General features: G+C 41.1%; 1 annotated feature.

The window, feature by feature from the left end:
* Nucleotides 3,161-3,682: an enhancer, noted in NCBI's record as "NANOG hESC enhancer chr14:97878244-97878765 (GRCh37/hg19 assembly coordinates)". NCBI's record gives its function as "activates a minimal SCP1, AML or CMV promoter by ChIP-STARR-seq in naive H9 embryonic stem cells {active_cell/tissue: H9 hESC(naive)}" and the evidence as "EXISTENCE:reporter gene assay evidence [ECO:0000049][PMID:30033119]".

Here is a 13,999-nt window from a genome sequence, read left to right on the forward strand (position 1 = left end):
AAAAGCAAGTCACTGGGCTGTGCACATTTAGTAAGCTCCACTGGTACCAAATGCTTGTAGGTTAATGAATTAGGAACATCAGTTTTCTTGGTGCAAATATGCTCCCAGCTTAGTTAAGAGGTTCTTCAGTTTGAATTTGTTTGGATGAAAACAAGATGGTTCCAAATTTCTGTGTAAATCTGAAACCAGACAAGTTTCACACAGTTGCACATTTCAAAAAAAAAAAAAAAAAAAAAGTTCTGCTCCCGTTTGGTAAGTATTCTGTGTATCTGAAAGGAGAAAAAAAAAAAAAAAACCTTGTAGTTTCCAATTGCAAAATGAGTCTTTATTTCCTCTCCAAAACCCTTTATGTGCCGTGAGTTGGTGAGTGTAAACCGGCTTCCTGGTGTGTGTGTGCAGCCCTGGGATGCCACAAGTCACATTTGTGACATGTCGGCTCTGGGAAATGCTGTGGAACCTGTCAGAACAATCCGTTCCACATAAATACAAAATGCTCTTTCTCACCCATGTCACCACGAACCTTTATTCAGGGCTTAAAACCCAGCTAGGCCTATATGAACAGCGTATGTTCGGAGCTTTTCCTACACACACAAACACGCACACACATACACACACATCTTTATCTTTCTGTCATTCTCTGCATTAACTACATTCTTAAAACCTGGAGGTATGCCAATCTTTTTTTTTTTTCAAAGAGGAAAAAAAATCAAAAGTTTTTGGTAATTGAAATTCATGACAAATTACAGACAGTTTTTTTCTTTCTTTTTTAGAACACCGTGTTCTTAGAAAAGTGTCTTCTTACTGAAATGAAAAAGCGTGGAAGCCGTGTGCGCCCGTGGACGTGGTTTTGTGACTCATGGCTGCCCTGGGCTGACAAGGACCAGTGTTTGATCTCTAAATCACGGGAAGACGAGTGTTGGATGTCAGGTGGTGGTGTGGTATCAGAGAAAATCGGTGGTCTTTTTGTTTTGCACCTGTGTTCTTTTGCTGTCGGCAAGGTGGGCCCAGGTAAAGCCAGCGTAGGTGAGCAAGGGGTCGCTGATTTTAATTGAGTAGTTATTCCAGTAACACCATCTATTCTGTTCACAGCCAAATGGGGTGGCCCCCTCCAATTTATCCCTCAGGCAGATTTCAAGAAAACGCTGTAGTCCAATATAATCGATGATTTCATATCCGAGAAAAGGTTTTTGTGTTTTTATTTTGTTCCAGTGTTTGCTTTAGGACTGATACTACCATTGCTTTTAATAAACTCCTTTGATACATTTTCTCCCCAGAAGAGACTTTTTTTGTTGTTGTTTTCAAGGTCACACAAAGAATATAACTTTGGTTTATTAATGGAAACCTTCTAGCTACTGGTTAATTCATTACTGCACAGTACAATTTTAAAAGTCACCAACAATGTGGTTCTTTGTCTTTAATTTCTTTGGATGTGTGGTTGTGTGTGTGCGTATGTCAGCACCTTTTTACCTTAAAGAGATACGCGAATCCCCATGAATTATTATACTTTCACTTGTTTTTGTGCCCACTTAAATTTATAGGTAAATATGTGTAAATTTGGGAAAAATATACTTTTTCCACTGTTCGAATTTCTTTCCTCAGAACTTTCCTAAGACTATAAAACTACAGCAGAGATGCTGGGGGCGCTGGGATCTGGGTGAGAGAATTGAGGCATGCACCTTGGGTGCAAAATTTAATGGAGTGCCAAAAAGGCAGTAATTAAGAAAAATGATAATTGGATGCAATGTTTAAAAAAATAAAATGAATGCACCAAAATTCACAATGAACAAAAAATTCAGATTTTAAATAAAGGCAGGATCTGATCCTGTCCACTGATTTTTAGAAGAGTGAGATGTATGTGCAGGCTTCTGATATCTCAAAGACAATTTTGGGAAACATCTTGCACAGAATCTATCATCACGGATTTTTATTTTAGGAGAAGATGTTACCTATCACCACGAGGGTAAGTTTTGACAACCGAATTTCTCCCCCTTTGCTCTTGCGGTTACTCCACAGACATTTGAGCATTCCGCGACAAAACTGTTTTCCAGTCCTGGACAAATACTTTTTATTTCTGAAAGCATCTCGCAGGGGGAGCTAGGGAGTAACACACTGCTCAAAGACGCTCTTTATAAAGGGACTTTCTGTGTCGTTTCTGGATTTTGATAGCAACTTTTGAGTAGGGCCGAGCAGCCTTTGCAGGAATGGGTGGATGGCGGCTAAGGTCATTGTCAAGGACTTGGGATCAATTAGTATGCAGATCAGAGCCAAGGAGTTCAAAGGTATTGTTCCAATTCAATCACATTAGCCAGGGCAGAGATGAACAAACAGCACGACCTTAATCACCAAGCCTTACCCATTCACTGGGTGTGTGTGTGTGTGTGAGAGAGAGAGAGAGAGACACACTAAGATCTGGCCAACCATGTGAAGATATGAGAAAGCTGACCCCCAAGCCTTATTATTTATAAAATATAATATGTACATTTCCTTCCGTGTATATTTGAGGGAGAACTTAATTGAAGGTGAACAAACTGGCTCTGTATTTCAATGCATGCCTTCACACATACACAGACACATTAAATGCCTTGCAAAAAACCAAAATCTCACTAGTATAATGCCAAGGTAAGTTCTTTTCCCTCTTACTTGCAGACAAGCCTATTCAAAATGTGCACAATTCTTTCAAGTCCCCCAAGTGAGAGGACGTGAAATTCCACATTCTAAAATACAGTATCTGCAGTCTAAATATACCTTTCAACTGTGTGGTTAGAGCTAACATGGAGATAAATGAGGAAATTTTGAATTTTTAAAACATCACAGGAAGAAGGATTTTTTCCCCCTTCTCTCTCTTCTCAAAGGAAAACCCAATTATTTTCCTGATTTGCCGATGTGATGCATTGGAATGTGGGCAAACCAGTGGCCGCTACTCATTGCCTGTGTCCTTAAAACATACAGCACGGAAGAGTAGGGACACAGATGCATAGTGTAAATACGCGGGTTCCATCTATAATTATATCTACAGCACACATGAGATACTTTTATGGTTTGGGTGGAAATGAGGAACGACAAGGGGATTAGCCTTTGACAAAATGTGACATTTAAGCAGGTTCACCTGGTTCTGGAACCCTTTGCCCTCCGAGTCGCTGTTTATCTGCGTTCACATGTAAGTTTGCTGCATCAATCTGGATAAACATTTGCTAAACCCAACAATGACTTCTATTGGAGTGGATTACCCCGGGAAGCTGTAGGCTGCACTGGGGGAGAATTCCGCCTCGGTATCTTCATTTCCATCTAAAATCAAACATGATCCGGTAACTAAGGTTTTCCGAATCCAGTCTCTGCCCCCACCTCCGGCCCTGGGAAGACAGTTAATCATAGCTGGCGAAGATGAAAGACGCGCAGGGAAACGCAACTCTAGCAGGCAAAGCTGCACCCCAGGGGGTCATGAATGCTGGGGGAGGAACCATGATTCCTTGATGCAATAACATATTGAGACACTTTCGGCTTTACACTCGCTATCAAGTAAATATAGGATATCTCACCCATGAAGGGTGATTATTGCTCCTGAAAGGAGGAAACGACTTATTAAGGTCTTGTTCAGGAGCAAAAGAAAGATAAGAATCATTATTAATAGAGAGAAACAATCTGGGATTTTCCCTATAAAAATGTATTTCCCCTTAAGACTATTTTGGCAGTGGGGTTATTATTATTATCATTATTATTCATATTGGTCTGAAATTGACTGTGCTTTCAAAGCAGTCCTAATAAGTAGAGGTTTCAAAAGATAACTTTTCCCATTGCATCTCCCGTCACATATTGTTAGTAGCGCTTTTATCTGTAATGCAAATAAAGACATTTTAAAATGTAAATCTGTTACCCAGTCCCATAAAAATATTCATTCACTGTTTGGTATTTTATTTGAAAATATTAAGCCACTAAAACAAAACAAAACAAAACACACGATCCTTAAAACCAAACGTTTACCCAATTATTCACAGAGGCATCATTTCTCCTTTGATCCTACTATTGTGATGTTTTCCCTGAATTTTGGTTCAAGACAGACATTTTCCTCTTCTTTTTTCTTTCCCCTAAACAAGGTCATAGATTTTTTTCCCCCTAAATGAAGACCAGAGCCCCCAGTGCAGGATTAAGTAAGTCCTTACAGTGTTATAAAAGTGAGTGCTTCTTTCCTATAATAAAAGGTGTTTAAAAGGTTCGCTACAGCTTTAAACAGAATTACAATTTACTTCTTTCAAGTGTCCAGGCCATAAATTCTTCTCAATTCCCTCTCTCTCTCCTTGTCGGAATTAATGAGATCAGATCTGATCAGGGCGCTGATGTGTTCAGCGCCAAATCACACAACAGCGCGCGCACCGTAATGGAATTTGCATCTAATGCATACATAAATCAAACATCTTTCTGGACATTTTCATATGCATAATGTCATTTCATCCAGTTCTCTCTGTGCAGAGGGGGAGATTTTTCTCTCTGAGAGAATGACTTTCTTTAATGCTTTCATTTTATTTTCGCTGACTGCAGTCCGGGAGAATGCGCTCGGTCGGAGAATCTTTCGGGGCGCGGTTGACAGTTCTTTTTCCAAGAGGGGTCCTTCACATTTATCATGCCTCTTCCTCGGGGGCTTTGTTATGCAAATGTGGCTGAAATTGATAATTCCAAAGTGCTTCATTTCGGCTCCTCGGCGGTTGGAGATGGTAGATAAAAAGAAACTGACAAGACACACTGATTGCCCTCAATGCATGTAACTCTCTTGCTAACAAGGCTGGATATTGTTAAAAATTCCTATTGTTATGAGGGTGGCGCTCCCATTATGCAGGCCTTGCAAATTTCTGATTTGAATATTAACCCTTTAATCACCCCACCCCACAGACCCCTCCAAAAAAAAAACAAAAAAAACACACAATTGCCATCAAATGGCTTCAGAACCCCAAACATCAAATTATTCTTCTATTATAGTGAACAGCTGGGGTACACTGAAAACACTTCATTAATCATTTGTTCCCAAGGTAAACTTTACATTTATTTTCAAATACAAAGAAAAGGGGTTATCTTAAGCAAAGGGGAGCCTCCCCCCAAGTTCTAAGTAAAGATGTTGGAACGGCATCGCCCTGAGTTTGCACAAAGGGCTGGAAATTGATAATTGAGAACAACAGTTTGTAAAAGGAACCTGGCCTCTCCCCCGGCCCCTGCTCCTCGTCGGCAAATGGAAAGATCAGTATTTTCACTTGGCCATGCTTCCGCTTTTCCGTTCAGACTAAAGAAGGCCTCAGGGAGGGGATATGTGTCTGCCGTCACCAGAGTTAAGTTTATTTTACCTGTTTGACCAGACGAAGGGAAAAAAAAATCTCCCAGCGTCCTTCTCTTAGTAGAGAGGGGATGCAGAAATCTGAATACCATTTCCAGGGAAGAATTACAAATTGAGGCAGCTCTGGGCATTAGCATACCAATTAGGTGCTGGCAGCAAACTGGGATTCTAAGGAGGTGCTGCGGGCCTTGGGCTGCGGCTGCTACGGGGTCAAAACACCAGGAGCTCAGAAGAACGTGGTTATTTCTGCTCAAAATCAAGGCCTGGTCCTTCCAAATACCAAGACCAGAATCTGGACTGGAAGGCCTCCTGTTTCTAAACATACACATGCACAATTACAATTTCCCAGAAAGTGATCAGACCCATTCATAGCGTCTCTGAATGAAAAACAGAAACTTAACAGGAATTCGCCTGTCAGCTAATTAGAATTTAGCGACTAGAATTTCTTAGCAGCTTTCCCATGGTGGCTGCATCTCCAGAAATGTCCACCAGGTAATTGGCCTCGCTGTTAAACCTTGGAACCACTTAGAATTATGTTTTCTTTTGAAAATGTTGCTAGGTTAGGGAAAGAAAACCTGCAGGTTGGTGAATTATGCTTAATGTTTTTTTCTCTCAAATGAAGCTCCTGAGCTTGGAAAAGAAAGCATCACGGGGCTTAGAGGCTAGAATTGCCTTGATGGTGTGCTGTGCCCGACGCCCATCAGAGGCTGCATCAAAGGGCTTCACCTTCTCAGTTCTGCAGCCGCGCAGAGCAGTACCTGCCAAATTATGGCAAATAAAAGAGGCGCCAGATCCAACAGACCTCTCTTACCTGCTGCACTAAAGAGGTGGTGCTCTGTCTGGCTGTTTGTGAAGTGCTGCCTTCCGTCCACACGCTTGGGGCTGTCGTCCAGACACACGTGGAAACACATGCAGAGGGGCACACAGATAGGGTCACTGCAAACGTTCTCAGGGATGACAAAGCCACTCACAGACCCTCTGCACACATGACCCAGGTGACTGCCGAAGAGACCTGGTCTCTCTCCTTGGCAGCCTTCACGTGCATGTCAGTCCAGGTACGAAGGCAAATTACACCACTCTAAAAGATTTTTAAAAAATGCATTGGTTTGTGTAGAAGCAGATTTTGATAAATGGTGAAGTTAGGGGATCATTCTCATATTTATAGTGGCCATTGGGCCCACGAACTTGTCTCCTGTCTTCATTATATGTTTTTGATATTTACGCTAGCTGCTAATCTCAGGAGCTCGGCCACATTTTCATAATTAAGATTGCAGCCCACACTCCCTAAACTTAGTGTGAGTCATTAAATCAGCAGGTTATAGTCAAAGTTGCAGTCAAAACAATGCTTATTCATTAATATCTGTTATGCTAATCAGCACCAATAAATGTGAAGGTAGCTAAGCGCTTACTCCTCCCCTGAAGAATCAACTAGCTTTTAGAAGCTTACACTTTCCTAGGAAAAGAGAAGCCTTATCTTTAGTTCACAAGAAGCTTTTAGGATGCAAGATTTAAAGATGTGTCTCTATGTATTTAATGTCTATTTTATTTTCAATTACACTTTGCGGTGAATCTGAATACCTAACGTTATCTATAGATTGCATGATATCGCTGGGCACTTGAAAGTGAGTTTTTCTGAGTCTATTTGATTTGTGAGTATTTTTTTTTCATCTGCTGGCAGAATGGTGCTCCCCACTCTCCACCCCAGGTTCTTCTTAAAAGGAAAACTTGGTAGTTTGTTCCCATCCGTGCACTGACTAATGCTCAGCAGGCACCGGGTGGTAATGACCTAGGGAAGGGGGTGTAGGCACAGGCTAGGATGTGGGCATCCTGGGTCTTCACAGCCTCTGCCAGGATGAGGGGCCTGGGATGCTGCTTTGTGTGCACAGAGGAAAGGTGTAGGAATGCCCGTGCTCGCTGGCATTTAATTTACCAGTTGCCTCTGTGCTGGGGCTTTGGCAGATTCTGCTGGAATCTGAAAGACAGGCTGTCATACCGAGGGCCTGCTGCCGACTCTGAAATTGAGAAACTTGGCAGATATGCAAACAGTAACTGGGTTTGAGTTGTTTTGATTACAAGTTAAACAGAGAGTCATTGGCAGGGCCAACGTATATCTGCCGAGGTTCTCACTCTCTCTCTCTCTTCTCCCCTTTCTTTCTCTTCTTTCATTTTCTTTCTTCCTCTTGGCCAAGTGCGTGAAAGTAGCTGGTAATTTCTGCAGAATCCAGTAACACCTTGGCTTTGCAGAGCTGGGATATTGTGAGAGAAGGAGAAAGGGTCAGTCTCTCTCCCTTTGGACTTACTTTATGTTGTGTTGGAAATGAGGCTGGCCATATAAAATTTAGCCCTGAATTCCAAGCCTTCAACACATTCAAAATTTCCCCTCTGGGTGGTTTACAAGGACAGAGCCCCATTATTCTTTCTAAATTTTGCATTATTTAGAGATGTATGGAAAAACATGCATGAAGAAAACATTTGAGAAAGCCTTTTAAAAATAAGTCATGCTTCCAATATTTGCCCAGAGAGAAATAGAAAGAGAGAAGATCTGCTTTCGCTGTGCTGTTTCTCTTTGGTTTGATCCAGGTTTGGGCCCTCAGCACGTGTCTACCTAGTCGCACCCTGCATGTTTGGGACAGTGAGCATTTACTCTTACCGGAGTAAAGTCAAGTCTTGCCTCCCTGGTGACCATGTGTAGGGGAAAAACGAAATAAAGAAAAGAAAAGTAAGAAATCTCAACTGGTATCACACAGGTGAATTAAAGGCAGCTGGCCTTTTAACCACATTTCCCCATTGTCAAAGGCCTCTTTCCATTTCAGCCAGGGGTTTGCACAATGCTCCATTCTGGACTGAGCTGCTCTTGCAATTTTAAGGTGAAATTTGTCAGTTTTGGAAAGAGGGCAAGGACAACATCTAACTGTCACTGCCATTGTCTTAAGCTGGCTGGCTGGAGGCAGATTTCCAAGAGGCTGTTTCACGTGGCAAAAAACACATTCGATTTATAGAAATGAGACTCTTTTCTTTCCCCCACAAGTAGAAAGCTGAAACTCTGAACACCCTGACAGAGTTCTTGGAAAGAGCCCAAATATATCAAATCAGACTTAAAAAAAAATCCACCAATTTGACCACAAAAATACTTTATTGAAAAATGTAAAAAAAAAAAAAAAAAAAGGCCAGGAAAACACACCACCTCACTGGGCTCAATAATGTGTCCCTAAAGAAACTGAGTTCTGAAAGGGCCTCATTTGGACAAAGTTAATTACTGCACAATAATTGCATTTTAAATTCAGTTTCTTTCTAGAAGCAGTGAATTTTAAAGCTCATGATTAGGGAAAAAAGTAAGTTCCTCTACCTACAACTTGTTAATTGCCTTTGTCAAAAACTGATGTCCCAAGACTTCCTCTCCCCTTGAAGAAATAGAACTTCTGAGTTGGTGGCAACACAGTCTCTGCAGACAGGGCTGAGTTTGCAGCTTCTGCTCTGAAGAGCTCAGCACTGCACATGCCCACCAGGCCAGGTGGACTCCCAGCATCATGCTAGAGCCCCGTTCATGTGCCGCATGGACTGGGGGCAGAAAGGCAAAGGACAATCACTTTAGTTGAGCATCTCCTCTTAGTCACTCTTTTCTACATGAACTCTGGTTTCATTCTCCTCGGAACTCTGTGCATTGATACTCCCGTGTTTGTGGGTTTTATAAAACTATTTTTATTGTGGTAAAACATGTAGCATACAATTTGCCATCTTAACCATTTTTAAGTGTACAACTTGGTGTTATTAAGTAAATTTATAATGTTGTGTAACTATCAACGGTACCTATCTCCAGAATTTTTCATCAGCGCAAACAGAAATTGTACATCTCATTAAGCAGTAACTCCCTAGTCTCCTTTCCTTGCAGCCTCTGGTGGCCTCTGGTCTCTCTGTCTCTGTGAGTTTGCCTGTACTTCATGGTGAGTGGAATCACACAGCTCTGTTCTTTGGGTCTGGCTTATTTTACTTAGCATAATGTTTTCGAGTTTCAACCACGTCACTGCCTATGTCAGAATTCCGCTTGTTCTCGTGGCTGAGTAATATTCCGTTGCGTGGTAGACCACATTTTATCTGTCCACCAGCTGATGGACACTTGAACTGTGCCTATCTTTTGGCTACTGTGCTGCTATGAACACTGGTGTACAAGTGTCCGCTTGGGTCCCTGTTTTCAGCTCTTTAGGGTCTATTCAGAGGAGTGGAATTTCTGGGTCCTGTGTTTAACTTTTTGAGGAATGTGAGATTATATTTACAGAAAAGGGCACAGGGGCACAGAAAAGTTTAATAACTGGTCTATTCTGTATAAGTAGCCAGTTGCAGAACTAAGATGTTGAGCCAGAGTGTGAATTCAGTATCTGTTTTCCATCCTACTTGCTTCCCAAAGTTAAAACCTTCATTCCTGACCCTCGAGAGGACACTTGTCAGCTGTAAGGTGAAAAGCTGACCCTTGAACCTGCTGTCTTGTGACAGCTGCATCAATGGTCTACAAATTCCCCTCCTCCATTTAGGCAAACTGTGGGGCCTCCTTGAACCTCCAGTTATCTGCAACAAGGGTAAGAGGATGTCCTGCTGATATGGTGGCATGTATATATTATATACAGACTGAGTGACACGCACTGAGTTTTAAATAAGTAGTATGCGGCCGGGCGCGGTGGCTCACGCCTGTAATCCCAGCACTTTGGGAGGCTGAGGCAGGCGGATCACGGGGTCAGGAGATGGAGACCACCCTGGCTAACACGGTGAAACCCCGTCTCTACTAAAAATACAAAAAATTAGCCGGGGTGGTGGCGGGCGCCTGTAGTCCCAGCTACTCGGGAGGCTGAGGAAGGAGAATGGCGTGAACCCGGGAGGCGGAGCTTGCAGTGAGCCGATATCGCGCCACTGCACTCCAGCCTGGGCGACAGAGCGAGACTCCGTCTCAATAAATAAATAAATAAATAAATTAATTAATTAATTAATTAATTAAAAAAATAGAAAAAATAAAAAATAAATAAGGGGAAAGACCAAATTGACATCATTTATTGTTGGTTAGGGGAGTGGAAGGGGCGTATGAATACTGGTAAACTAAAATGACTGGGGACTGGGCGCGGTGGCTCACGCCTGTAATCCCAACACTTTGGGAGGTCAAAGTGGCATATCCCCTGAGGTCAGGAGTTCAAGACCAGCCTGACCAACATGGCGAAACCCTGTCCCTACTAAAAACACAAAAATTAGCTGGGCGAGGTGGCGTGCGCCTGTAGTCCCAGCTACTCAGGAGTCTCAGGCAGGAGAATCTCTTGAACCAGGGAGGTGGAGGTTGCAGTGAGCCGAGACCCTGCTACTCCATTCCGGCCTGGGCAACAAGAGCAAAACTCAGTCTCAAAAAAGTAAAAATAAATAAAAATAAATGATTGGGGATTTCCAATCCTCACTGCTGACTCCTTTTTCTAAGTCCCTGATGAAATTCTTCTTTCTTTTCTTTTTTTGAGATGGAGTCTGGCTCTGTCACCCAGGCTGGAATGCAGTAGTGCGGTCTCGGCACACTGCAACCTCCCTCTCCCGGGTTCAAGTGATTCTCCTGCCTCAGCCTCCTGAGTAGCTGGGATTACAGGTGCCCACCACTATGACGGCTAGTTTTTGTACTTTTAGTAGAGACGGGGTTTTACCATGTTGGCCAGGCTGGTCTCGAACTCCCGACCTCAGGTGATCTGCCCACCTAGGCCTTCCAAAGTGCTGGGACTACAGGCGTGAGCCACCTTGCCCGGCCTGAAACTCTTCTCTCTAATGAGCACAAATCCCAGAGGCTCCTGAAAACATCCACTGTTCCACTCTTGTCTGTTTTCTGTGTGTGGAGCTGAAGAGATCTTTAGAATCGTGGGTGGGTGTATATGAACAACTAGAGAGCATGCACTTTATAACAAATGTCCTGAGTGCTTAAAAGTTATTCTGTACTGATTGAACATGGAAAGCATCCAGGGAGATTAATTTTATGGGCTCTTTTTATGGGGGTAACAGATCAAAAGCCCGCCTTTGGATTGGTTTCATCAGATTTCATTGGCATCTTTGTCTTAATCACTCACTGATTTAAGGTAGAAATTTAATTTAATTTAAAACTTTTTTTACTCTAATCTCTTATGAAATTAATCTGCTCTTTCAGTTTGGGAGTTCGTACAATTGCTATTTTTATCATTTTAAAATCTGTTAGCCAAAGTAAAATGTTTTTAACTTTCCATTTCACACACCCAAAATCGGTATCAGAAAACAAGTACCGAAATTGTATTTGTTTGGAAACCAACTCATTCTTTTCAGAAAGTAACATTAAACACAGCCAATTTTCACACGAGGTGATTATTAAAACTTAAGAATCGTTTGAAGTTGGCATTCCCCTGGGATGCTGAGGACTTTTCCATTTTTTGAGACTAAAAGCCTCTGTTAAAGGTAAACTTCCTTTAATTAGTGAAAGCATCTTTGTTACGTAACAAATTCAAATCTTTCTTTTTTAAGGCTTGTAATTTTTTTTCCCAGTCCATTTTTATTATTATTTTTTTCCCCAGTCCATTTTCTCTGTGCCTCTTGCCCAAACCAAAATGAATTTCCAACTTTCTTCCAACTTATCCCTGATTGCTTAGGGCTTTCTCAGTTTTAATACTGAAAGTCTGAAGCCCAGGAACCCCCTGAACAAAAAAAGTGGGACAGCGGCTTTTCTACTCCTTGACCCTTCTTTCAAATCCTTAAACATACAAATAATTGCTCCAAGATTCATTAGTAAGCAGGCCTTACTAATATACCAATGGACTGGTTAAGCTGTCTATGAGTGAAAAACATTAGTTCAACCGTGCAGTCACAGTTTGTCATTATGGCTCTGATACATTAATAACAGTGAGGACTTCATGTTGTTGATTTGACAGAAGGGTTGTGTTTGGCTGTAGTTGTGTACTTTTCTTTGGGTATGTTCACAATGTGCATAATAAAGAAAATGCATTGTAATACGCTTGTACCATAGTGTATGTTTGTGTGTCAGGTGCAATTCCTGCATTAGGAAAACACATTGCTAAATGCCTGAGCAAGACACTGGGTGGAAATGAACCCATGTGCAGTTGGCAATTCCATTCTAAGTCTCAACATCCTGGCTGTTTCACACTTTTTCTTAAATACTCCAAAGAGGCTAGTCTATATTATGGACTAATGGCCTGCAAAGTTGCTTTTTGCAAAATGAAGCCCTTTAAAGCTTCATAAATTCATATATAGAGTCATTTGAAATATACCAATGTTTACATGTCTATCAATTTACTTGTTAGAGGCTTTGTGAAGACTATTTACAAAGAGTGTTAAATTTCTCCCCCTTTAAAAATGTTAAAACATTTTGATTTGAAAAAGTGGGTTCCTAATCATGAAAATTTTAAAAATCTTTGAACTATTCAGGCTCCCTCAATAAAGAAGTGCACTGGGAGAAAAAGACAGATACAAAGTGAGAAAGAATGATTATTTCCTTAGTGGCAATAAAACTGCATGAATTAGGGGTATGTACATTCTGAGTGATTTATAACACTTGAAATTTATTTAAAAAATGGTTTCATGTAAGAAAATAACAAAAGCTGGTTGTTATTCATAGAATGGATAAAAGAGCATGAATCTAAATTTGGTTCTGAACAGCTGTCTCTTAAAAGGATCTTATTATACCATTTATTTAAATTATTTTCTTAAATTTTTCTTTTAGACAGTGCACTTAATCCTGCAAAGTGGCAGTATATATTTGTTTCTATTTTAACTTCATCAGCATTCCCTTCCTTCACAGTTTCTCTGTTGGTGTAACTCTTGGTCTCAACTTATCAATAAGGCGTTTAATAACTACACTTATTTTTCACTTGCCTTATGTTATTAACTCTTTGTTACAAGTACAAAGACCATCGATTTAAGTGAGGTTTATTATTCTGAGGCTAAAAATACCTTGTAAATTGCATAAACTTAGCAATTATATATGTTTCCTCAAATGAAAAAAAAATCAGAATTTATTAGAAAACAGCCTAAATGGATGTCACCTTTGGTTTTAAAAGCATTAAGATTGATTTTAATGCCTCTCCAGCTCCTTTAACACTTATGTACACATGTAGGATAAATAGTTAGAAAGCAATAGAGCACCTTGTTGTTATATTAATAAAATACACTTACATCATCATGGTTAGAAAGAAAAGCAATACACCACATTTGGAATATAAGCTCATTTAGAGCAGAGCGCAATATAGTTTTATGAATTAAAAACCAAATCAAATAAATTCAATTAATTTCAAGCTACCAACTTAGATTCGAAAGCCAAATGTCACCAACAGCTGCAGAGAGAGCTCCTCTGATGGGCTACATGTGGTTCACAATGACAGTCGACAGCATCCTCCGTATGGGTCTTTGAGCCCATGCGGTGACAGTCCTGAAGCTTATCTGAGTTTATACCTATTGCATGAGAACGGTAGCTCAGACTTGACCGTGGGTATATTACACGTACTCAGCAATCTCTAATTTCTCCTAAGGAGGCAGCCAGGCATATAACGAGGTGCTAGGGTTTGGAATTGCACAAGACCTGAGTAACCACAGGGCCTGAAGGACTCAACTTGTTTAGGACTCTCCTCATCTGTAAAACGGGACTGATTTTAGAGTGGGTCCAAGAGATGTATGTCCATGTGCATTACAAGA

This window comes from Homo sapiens, chromosome 14 (genome assembly GCF_000001405.40).
Source record: "Homo sapiens chromosome 14, GRCh38.p14 Primary Assembly".
NCBI lineage: Eukaryota > Metazoa > Chordata > Mammalia > Primates > Hominidae > Homo > Homo sapiens.